At 52.1% G+C, this 10155-nt stretch overlaps 1 protein-coding gene across 1 annotated transcript, besides 3 other annotated features; it reads left to right on the forward strand.

Annotated features, from left to right (window-relative positions):
- Nucleotides 2080-2189: an enhancer, noted in NCBI's record as "active region_28347". NCBI's record gives its function as "activates an Ori minimal core promoter by ATAC-STARR-seq in GM12878 lymphoblastoid cells {active_cell/tissue: GM12878}" and the evidence as "EXISTENCE:reporter gene assay evidence [ECO:0000049][PMID:35858748]".
- Nucleotides 2280-2780: an enhancer, noted in NCBI's record as "H3K4me1 hESC enhancer chr9:36166491-36166991 (GRCh37/hg19 assembly coordinates)". NCBI's record gives its function as "activates a minimal SCP1, AML or CMV promoter by ChIP-STARR-seq in primed H9 embryonic stem cells {active_cell/tissue: H9 hESC(primed)}" and the evidence as "EXISTENCE:reporter gene assay evidence [ECO:0000049][PMID:30033119]".
- Nucleotides 2380-2589: a silencer, noted in NCBI's record as "silent region_19890". NCBI's record gives its function as "represses an Ori minimal core promoter by ATAC-STARR-seq in GM12878 lymphoblastoid cells {active_cell/tissue: GM12878}" and the evidence as "EXISTENCE:reporter gene assay evidence [ECO:0000049][PMID:35858748]".
- On the forward strand, nucleotides 5174-7120 carry CCIN (calicin). Its single transcript, NM_005893.3, has one exon. It carries the CDS (start codon nucleotides 5289-5291, stop codon nucleotides 7053-7055), a length of 1767 nt encoding a protein of 588 aa, NP_005884.2. The 5' UTR covers nucleotides 5174-5288; the 3' UTR covers nucleotides 7056-7120.
- Nucleotides 7121-10155: the final 3035 nt, after the last annotated feature.

Below are 10155 nucleotides of genomic sequence, written 5' to 3' on the forward strand. Positions count from 1 at the left end.
GGCAAACCAAAGCTACTTGCAAGCCAAGTTATGAATAGGAAATACACAGAAGCGAAGAAGCCAGTTATTGGAGGTACAAAAGAGGAGGAGATGCTGAGAATATTCTTGAATGTTCCTGAGTTTTCTAGCTCCAGCCCAAATCTGTATATCTTTAAAATATGCCCCTCATTTTCCTCAGGGCTTCCAAACAAACTGATATACCAGCCGATAGTCCCCAAAGATTAGAATCATACCATCTCTTCCTAACGGGAGACACCATGAACAGAAAATGTGGCGCCTGGTAGGAAGCTGACGGTGGGTGAAAAGACCCTGCTGAGATCCTTTTCTGGCCCCACCTGGCAAGCTGCCAGCCAATGAACTTCTTGGTGGCTCCTCGGGTCACCCCCCCCACCCCCATACACACACACACACACACACACACAACCAGGTGGTGGAAGCCAGCATGCAGCCAGCCTCTATGGGCTGGAGTTTGTTTCCACAGTTGGCTGGATTGAGGAAAAAGCTGGACCGGGGAGCTTTCCTGGGCTAAAGAAATGCCAGACAGCAAAGCTGGCTGAGCAGGTGGGCACTAATCTCACTTTTAAGGATTTCTTGAAGATGGCAAGCCTCACAATCCAAAAAGAACAAGGACAAACCAAACCGCGGCTCTCCTTTGTAGCCAGAGGGCAGAGGAAGAAGACAGCTCTCTGGTGCAAGCCTCTTCCTCTCCCTGGGCTTCAATTTATCCACCTGTACGAGGTCTGTCACATGGAGTTAGGTCTATCAGTTCTCTCAGGTCCCCATGACACCTCCAGACCCAACTTAATGCTGGAAGTGTCTGATGAGAGAGCTCATTCCTGCCTTGGTGCTCTGGGAGCTGAAACAAAAACAAACAGGCATGGCCACCTCCTCCACTGAAATGCTCCCAAGGCTGAAGCTTGCAGGTGGGAGGGCAGGGGAGAGGACAAAGGAGGTGTGAAGCAGCAGGGCCTGACCCACCCACCCCCTGCTCCCGGGTGAAGATGTCCCAGGAGGCGAGATCTGCCAGCCTGCATGTCCATGGGAGCCAGAAGGTGTCTGGCATCAGCACCAAGAGGCCTCATCATTCACCCAAGTTGCTGCTGCTGCTTTGCAGAAGGTAAGGGCTGAAGAGGCATTAAGGGCTTAATTATTCTCCCAGGGAGACTGGTCTCCGGAGGAGGAGGCTGAAATTGAAGTCTACTTCCAATGGGGAAAACAGAAGTTCTTCACTTTGTGCACGTATCATATCCCAAGAGACCGAGTCTCTCTATCGCATTCGGGCGGGAAGGTGGACAAATTCAGTTTAAAAGGGTATTTTTGGCCAGGTGCGGTGGCTAACGCCTGTAATCCCATACATTAGGAGGCCAAGGTGGGTGGATCACGAGGTCAGGAGTTCAAGACCAGCCTGGCCAAGACGGTGAAACCCCGTCTCTACTAAAAATACAAAAGTTAGCCGGGCGTGGCTGCGCGCGCCTGTAATCCCAGCTACTTGGGAGGCTGAGGCAAGAAATTACTTGAACCCGGGAGGCGGAGGTTGCAGTGAGCCGAGATCGGGCCACTGCACTCCAGCCTGGGGGACAGAGTGAGACTCCATCTCAGAAAAAAAAAAAAAAAAAAGGGAAGGGGCGTATTTTCAAATAATTTTCAAGTTACCAAATCTAAAAATAAGGAAAAGACTAGTCTGGAATGAACGGACGAGGGAGGGAGACAATGAGAATGAGAATATGACTAAGCCAGGGAGGGAAAGAGCTGGAACGGCTCAGATTCCCGAGGCTGATACTGAAATTTCCCGGGAGGGGCACTGAGGACGGCCCGAGGGTCTAGAGTGGGGCTTGGGCCCAGATTGGAGGAGATCAGAGAGGTAAGTCCTTTCTGTACCTTCTCGCGAATGCCTGGGCGAGATGCAAGTCCAGGCCCTTCTCTGGGGTCTCTTCCCAAAGGCTGGTCCGGGTGGGGCTACTGGGCTCTTTTGCCTCCCCCTCCCTCCCGCCCGCGGCGCTCCAGCTGGCGCTTATCCCCTTCTTGCACGAACAGCAGTTCCACAGACGCCCCACAGGACTCCGGGAGCCCCACGCCAGCCAGGAATCTGTCCGAGTCTGCGGGCACCCTCCTCTCTCCCCGCAAAGGACTCGCAGGGGTCAGGAAACCCCCCCAGCTGTTACTGGGAGTCGGAGACAGTCTTCTGGCCTCTGGAGGGCGCGCCTCCGTTGGGGGCTCAGCGTCCCCATCTGTAAAGTGGGGACAGGTGTGTGTCTGGGGAAATCTAAGGAGTCCTGCAAGGCTGAGAGCCCCCGATCCTGCCGTTTGAATTCCAGGGTCGCGGCGGACGGCACGGCGCTGCCGCCTTTGCACGGTGGCGCGTGGAGGCAAAGCGAAAAAGGGGACGCCCCGCGCCTCTTTTCCATCCTGGAGAGGGGTTGGGGTGGTGCCCGGCGCAGAGGCGGTGCGCTCGGGGGCGGGGACGACCCTCCAGCGCCACCGCGTGGCTGGACTGGGTTCGGGCGGCGGGCCCAGAAGAGACGCGAGGTAGCCACAGCCTCCTCAGCTACCGCGAAACCAGAACCACGATGACCACAAGTTTTTATGAAGGGAGCAGCCACGAACGCCGGCGCTGGGCGAACTGGTGTAATATGAGTAAGAAAACGGCAGCTAGCATTGATTGAGCTTTATGACAAGCCCACTACTCTCCAGTCCTTTTCTCATTTAAACTCTAATAATAGGCCGGGCACGGTGGTTCACGCCTATAATCCCAACCCTTTGAGAGGCCGAGGCGGGCGGATCACCTGAGGTCAGGGGTTCGAGACCAGCTTGGCCAACATGGTGAAACCTCGTCTCTACTAAAAATACAAAACTTTGCCGGGCATGTTGACAGGCGCCTGTAATCCCAGCTACTGGGGGTGGGGGGTGAGGGGGGTTGGGGGGTTGGGTAATAAAAGACAGGGGAATTGCAACAGAGAAAGAGTAATTCACACAGAGCCAGCCGTGCGGGAGACTGGAGGGTTTTGTTTTTGTTTTTTGGGGTTTTTTTTTTTGAGACGGAGTCTCACTCTGTCGCCCAGGCTGGAGTGCAATGGTGCGATCTGGGCACGCTGCAACCTCCGCCTCCCGGGTTCGAGCGATTCTGCTGCCTCAGTCTCCCCAGTAGCTGGGATTACAGGCATTACAGGCATGCACCACCACTCCCAACTAATTTTTGTATTTTTAGTAGAGACAGGGTTTTGCCATGTTGGCCAGGCTGGTCTCGAAACCATGACCTCAGGTGATCCGCCCACCTTGGCATCCCAAAGTGCTAGGATTACAAGCATGAGGCACCGCGCCCGGCCTGGAGTTTTATTATTACTCAAATCAGTCTCCCGGAGCATTGGGGGAGCAGAGTTTTTAAAGATAACTTGGTGGGTAGGGGGAAGCCAGTGAGCCAGGAGTGCTGCTGATTGGTCAGAGATGAAATCATGGGAGTTGGAGCTGTCTTCTTGGGCTGAGTCAGTTCTTGGGTCTGGGGGCCACAAGATCAGATGAGCCAGTTTATTGATCTGAGTGGTGCCAGCTGATCCATCAAGTGCAGGTTCTGCAAAATATCTCAAGCACCGGCCGGGCACGGGGGCTCACGCCTGTAATCCCAGCACTTTGGAAGGCTGAGGCAGGTGGATCACCTGAGGTCGGGAGTTTGAGACCAGCCTGACCAACATAGAGAAACCCCATCTCTACTAAAAATACAGAATTAGCCGGGTGTGGTGGTGCATGCCTGTAATCCCAGCTACTCAGGAGGCTGAGGCAGGAGAAACGCTTGAACCCGGGAGTTGGAGGTTGTGGTGAGCCGAGAACGCACCATTGCACTCCGGCCTGGGCAAGAAGAGCGAAACTGTCTAAAAAAAAAAAAAAAGAGAAATCTCAAGCACTGGTCTTAGGAGCAGTTTAGGGAGGGTTAGAATCTTGTAGCCTCCAGCTACATGACTCCTAAACCATAATTTCTAATCTTGTGGCTAATGTTAGTCCTACAAAGGCAATCTAGTCCCCAGGCAAGAAGGAGGTCTGCTTTGGGAAAGGGCTGTCTTTGTTTAAACCGTAAACTATACATATAGGTTTCTCCCAAAGTTAGTTCAGCCTTTGCCAAGGAATGAGCAAGGACAGCTTGGAGGTTAGAAGCAAGATGGAGTCAGTTAAGTTGATCTCTTTCACTGTCTCAGTCATAATTTTGCAAAGGCTGTTTCAAGCTGAGATCGCACCACTGCACTCCAACCTGGGTGACAGAGCGAGACTCTGTCTCAAAAAAATAAAAATAAAAATAAAAATAAACTCATAATAATCTTTGAAGTGGGTACTACTATCAAATATTAGTTCCATCTCACAGAGGAGGAAACTGAGGTTTAGAAAGTCTGATCAACTCGCCCAAGTCCACCTTTGATGGAGAAAGCTGACCCACTGAAGCCCCCAACATTTTCCAACTGGACACTTGGAAATGTTGGGGGAACATTCTAGTTTGCCAAGGAGCTGAAATCATCCGGTCTTTAAAGACCCTCCCATGCCCCCGTTTGTGGTTAACTCCTTCATCCCTGCTCCAGGGAGTGGCCTCCACCTCTCCATTTTGAAGGAGAATGATGTCTGTGGCCACCAAGGTCAGAAGCCAAAGGACAGAGCTTTTCTCTGATGCCCAGGAGCCTTGGCAGGAAGAGTGCTTGGAGAGTTGAGAGTCAGAGACTGGGGAAAGCTGGGTAGTCAGGAGCTTCCAGAAGGGTAGGAAGAATGCGAGGTTCCCCAGGTTCTGGGCCCTGCTCGGCTTCCAACTGGCTATGTGATTTTGGGCAAGTGCCTTCTCTTCTCTGGGCCTCAGTTTCCCTCAAAATGGGAGGATTCTTCTAGGTCTAATAATCTCTTCCCTTTCCCCACCTCCCCTTATCTCTCCTACACAAACTGCTCCCCACTGCCCCACCCAGACTGGCTCTGATATTCCAGAAGCCTTTAACTACGGTTTGAAAGTCCCAGGTGGAAGTTGCCGCCCATCCCTGAGGTTCCTCCTGAGCTCTGGGCCCAGGGCTTTAGGTCCTGCTAGGGTATGTGGCCTTGGCAGGTTGGAGAGATCAGAGGGGAGGAAGGCCCAGTGCCTCTGAGACAGGCCTCAGGGAGGCCTGCATTGTGATGACCTGATCCACTCTATGACATCATCCTCTCTTCCACCCTCTCTTCTCCCTGGTCAACCGCTCTGCAAACAACCATCAATCTGATCCCACAGGCCTGAGAAAGTCTGCTCTCCAGTACCTGCTGCTGATCTGTTTCAGCCGACAAGAGGCACCATGAAATTGGAATTCACGGAGAAAAACTACAATAGCTTCGTGCTGCAGAACCTGAACAGACAGAGGAAACGCAAAGAGTACTGGGACATGGCCCTGAGTGTGGACAACCACGTCTTCTTTGCACATCGCAATGTGCTGGCTGCTGTCTCCCCACTGGTGAGGAGCCTCATCTCCAGCAATGACATGAAGACCGCTGATGAGCTTTTCATCACCATTGACACCAGTTACCTGAGCCCGGTCACAGTGGACCAGCTTCTGGACTACTTCTATAGCGGCAAGGTGGTGATCTCCGAGCAAAATGTGGAGGAGCTGCTTCGTGGGGCTCAGTATTTCAACACACCACGCCTTCGAGTTCACTGTAACGACTTCCTTATTAAGTCCATCTGCCGTGCCAACTGCTTGCGCTACCTCTTCTTGGCTGAGCTGTTTGAGCTCAAAGAGGTATCAGACGTAGCTTACTCTGGCATTCGGGACAACTTCCACTACTGGGCCAGTCCTGAGGGCTCCATGCACTTCATGCGCTGTCCACCTGTTATCTTTGGCCGCCTGCTCCGTGATGAAAACCTTCACGTGCTCAATGAAGACCAGGCGCTCAGCGCACTCATCAATTGGGTGTACTTCCGGAAGGAGGATCGGGAGAAGTATTTCAAGAAGTTCTTCAATTACATCAATCTCAATGCTGTCTCCAATAAGACGCTGGTGTTTGCCAGCAACAAGCTGGTGGGCATGGAGAACACCTCATCCCATACAACCCTGATTGAGAGTGTCCTGATGGACCGCAAGCAGGAGCGGCCATGCAGCCTGCTGGTCTACCAGCGGAAAGGGGCCCTGCTTGATTCCGTGGTCATCCTCGGTGGCCAGAAGGCCCACGGCCAGTTCAATGATGGAGTGTTTGCTTATATCATCCAGGAGAACCTGTGGATGAAGCTCTCAGACATGCCCTATCGGGCAGCAGCACTTAGTGCCACCTCTGCTGGTCGCTACATCTACATCTCTGGTGGCACCACTGAGCAGATTTCAGGGCTGAAGACAGCCTGGCGGTATGACATGGATGACAACTCCTGGACCAAGTTGCCTGACCTGCCCATCGGGCTTGTCTTCCACACCATGGTGACCTGTGGGGGGACAGTGTACTCAGTGGGCGGGAGCATTGCCCCAAGGCGGTATGTCTCCAACATCTATCGCTATGATGAGCGGAAGGAAGTCTGGTGCCTGGCAGGAAAGATGAGCATCCCCATGGATGGCACCGCCGTGATCACTAAAGGAGACAGGCATCTGTACATTGTCACTGGACGGTGCTTGGTGAAAGGTTATATCTCCCGGGTCGGGGTAGTGGACTGCTTTGACACCAGCACTGGGGACGTGGTCCAGTGTATCACCTTCCCCATTGAGTTCAACCATCGGCCCCTGCTCTCTTTCCAACAGGACAACATCCTCTGCGTGCACAGCCACCGGCAGAGTGTGGAAATCAATCTGCAGAAGGTGAAGGCAAGCAAGACGACCACCTCAGTGCCTGTCTTGCCCAACAGCTGCCCCTTGGATGTGTCCCATGCTATATGCTCCATTGGAGACAGCAAGGTGTTTGTATGTGGGGGTGTCACCACTGCCAGCGATGTCCAGACAAAGGACTACACCATCAATCCAAATGCCTTCTTGCTGGACCAAAAGACAGGCAAGTGGAAGACCCTGGCTCCTCCACCAGAGGCACTGGACTGTCCTGCCTGCTGTCTAGCCAAGCTACCTTGCAAGATTCTTCAAAGGATTTAAACATTTTAAGTGGGAGAATAAGTAAATGCATTATTATTCACGATTTAATGAGAGAAAGAGAGGAAGATGGCCTGTTGTTTCCTTCTTAGTGTTCCAGTCCATGCTTGGCCCTGAAGGTGGAGATCCTAGGGGAGGGCTGCTCCCAGTGGGTGGAAACTCAGGGCCACTATGTCATTGGAGGTATCCAACAGGGCCTGGAAAGGAACCCCTGGTGGGTGGAATTGAGGCCCCTCCCAGGCACTGGCCAAGGCGATGTCTGTCCCCTATTCTGTACCCCTGTGATCACCTCTCAGGCATCTGCTAGATTGGCAGGTAAACATCCACTCAGAGCTGTGAAGCATCAAGCTCCTCCAGCACCTGCTTCCCTCCGGTCTTTCACAAAAGCAGGGGAGGACCCGTCCCAGGTCTGAGAGAGGAATCTCATGGCCAGGAAGGAGAAGGTGACCTGGGTAAGACTCAGAAAAGAAGGCAGAAGGAACAGGGGAGGCAAGGTTACTTAGCTTCTGTATTTGCCCATGCAGCTACGGTAGTTTGTGTCTCATTTGTGGGAAAGCTGGAGGTTCCTTACAATTGTTTCTACTAAGCCAAGTACATTGAGAACTTTCTCCAGGAATATGAGTCTGAGGGACTGGGGATAAAAGAGAGGCCAGTAAAGGGAAAAGAAAGAAACATATCCTGGTCGGGCACAGTGGCCCATGCCTGTAATCCCAACACTTCGGAAGGCTGAGGCAGAAGGATCACCTGAGCCCAGGAGTTTGAGACCAGCCTAAGCAATAAAGTGAGATCCCGTTTCTAGTATAAAAAAAAATAATAAGGCCGGGGGTGGTTGCTCACGCCTGTAATCCCAGCACTTTGGGAGGCCAAGGCAGGTGGATCACCCGAGGTCAGGAGTTTGAGACCAGCCAGCCTGACCAACATGGTGAAACCCTGTCTCTACTAAAAATACAAAATTAGCGAGGCGTGGTGGCACATGCCTGTAATCCCAGCTACTCGGGAGGCTGAGGCAGGAAAATCTCTTGAACTTGGGAGGCAGAGCTTGCAGTGAGCCGAGATAACGCCACTGCACTCCAGTCTGGGCGACAAGAGTGACACTCCGTCTCAAAAAAAAAAAAAAACAGAATCTACTTTTGCATTTGGCAAGCAGCTAGACTAAGGGTGCTAGAAAGCCTGGATCGCTTTAATTCAATCAAGGCATTATATGATTCAAATTTAGGCTTTAGACTATTTCCACCTTTATTCTTAGTGTGTAGCCCTTTAGGGTCCCAACAAAAATCACTTTTCTGGGGCTTCCCAACCACATATGACTAGCGTCCCTTCTATCTTTTCAGTGCTTGCCCTCTGCTGCCCTGGCCACCTCCCTATCCCCTATCACCGCCAGCATCTATCATATAGTAATTTATAAGGATTTATTCTTGCCTTTCTCCTAGCTAAGATCAATTTTTGCTCTTTTGATGTTGTTGTTGAGATGGGATCTCACTTTGTCATCCAGGCTGGACTGCAGTGGTGCAATCATAGCTCACTGCAACCTCAAACTCCTGGGCTCAAGGGATCCTCCCGCCTCGGCCTACTGAGTAGCTGGGACTACAGGTGCTTGCCACCACACCTGGGTAGTTTTTTTTTTGTTGTTGTTGTTTTTAAATTTTTTGTAGTGATGTGGTCTCACTTTGTTTCCCAGGCTGGTCTTGAACTCCAGGGCTCAAGCAATCCTCCCACCTCGGTCTCCCAAAGTGCTGGGATTACAGGCGTGAGTCACTGTGCCCAGCATTTGTTACTTTAAAAGGTGGGAACTCTGTCTTACTCTCTCTCACCCAGTACCCTTCAGAAATAATTGTGTGGCCCTTGATCTGCCCTGGGAGAGTGCTGAGGAGGAATTCTACACAGGTTAATCTCTGTCTCCCCGAGAATCCAGGGCTCTTTCCTAATAGGCTGTCAAGTGCTCTCCCCATCCCTGTCACCCCACCCAGGCCAGGGGCTCGCCTCACACTGTTCTCTCCCTTGGCCTCTACTGTCCTGGAAGTCCTGGCTAGGCTCCTTTCCAATCCCAGACCTTCACCGCTTGGACTTTTTCTGTTCTCAGAGTCTCAGAACTGTTGGCGGAGCTCACTATGCATTCAAATGGTCTAAAATGGAATCATTTTTGTGATGGTTAATTTCTTTTTTTTTTTTTTTTTTGAGACAGAGTCTTGCTCTGTCACCCAGGCTGGAGTGCAGTGGCACAATCAGCTCACTGCAACCTCCACCTCCTGGGTTCAAGTCATTCTCCTGCCTCAGCCTCCCCAATAGCTGGGATTACAGGCATGCGCCATCACGCCCAGCTAATTTTTGTATTTAAGTAGAGACGGGGCCCTGAGTGAACTTGAAGGCCACAAGGATTACAATTCCTAGGCAAGTCCTGGTGCTGAACTGGGCTCAGAGACATTGGACTTGGGGGGCATGCAACCTACTGAGATACCAGCCAGCTGGCTAAGGGAGTGCTTGCATCACCCCTTCTACAACCACAGGCAGGACAGCTCACAGCTACAAAAGAAACCTCTTCCTTCTGCTTGGGGACAGGAGGGAAAACTAAAGGGGACTCTGTCTTGCATCTTGGATATCAGCTCAGCCACAGTAGGATAGGGCACTAGTCAGAGTCAGAAAGCCTCTATTCCAGGCCCTAGTCCCTACACATTTCTAGACACACCCTGGGCCAGAAGGGAACCTGCTGCCTTGAAAGGAAGAATCCAATCCAGGCAGGATTCATCACCTGCTGATTAAAGAGCCCTTGGGCCCTGAAAAACCAGCAGCGATACCCAGGTAGTAAGCTGTGAGCCTAGGGTGAGACTCAGAGACGTACTGGCTCCAGGTGAGACCCAGCACATTCCCAGCTGTGGTGACCTCAGGGAGAGATTCCTACTGCTTGAGAAAAGCAGAAGGAAAAGTAAAGGGGACTTTGTTTTGCACCTTAGGTACCAGCTTGGCCACAGTGGGGTAGAGCACCAAGCAGGCTCTTAGGTTCCCCAATTCCAAGCCTTGGCTCTTAAATGTCATTTCTGAACCTACACTGGGCCAGAGGGAAGCCCACTGCCCTGAAGGGTGAGTCCAGGCCAGGCCTGGCAGCATT

This window comes from Homo sapiens, chromosome 9, assembly GCF_000001405.40.
Source record: "Homo sapiens chromosome 9, GRCh38.p14 Primary Assembly".
NCBI classification, from domain to species: domain Eukaryota; kingdom Metazoa; phylum Chordata; class Mammalia; order Primates; family Hominidae; genus Homo; species Homo sapiens.

What these genes read in the sequence shown, in the direction of transcription:
- CCIN (NM_005893.3), top strand. Translation starts at nt 5,289, where the DNA reads ATGAAATTGGAATTCACGGAGAAAAACTACAATAGCTTCGTGCTGCAG.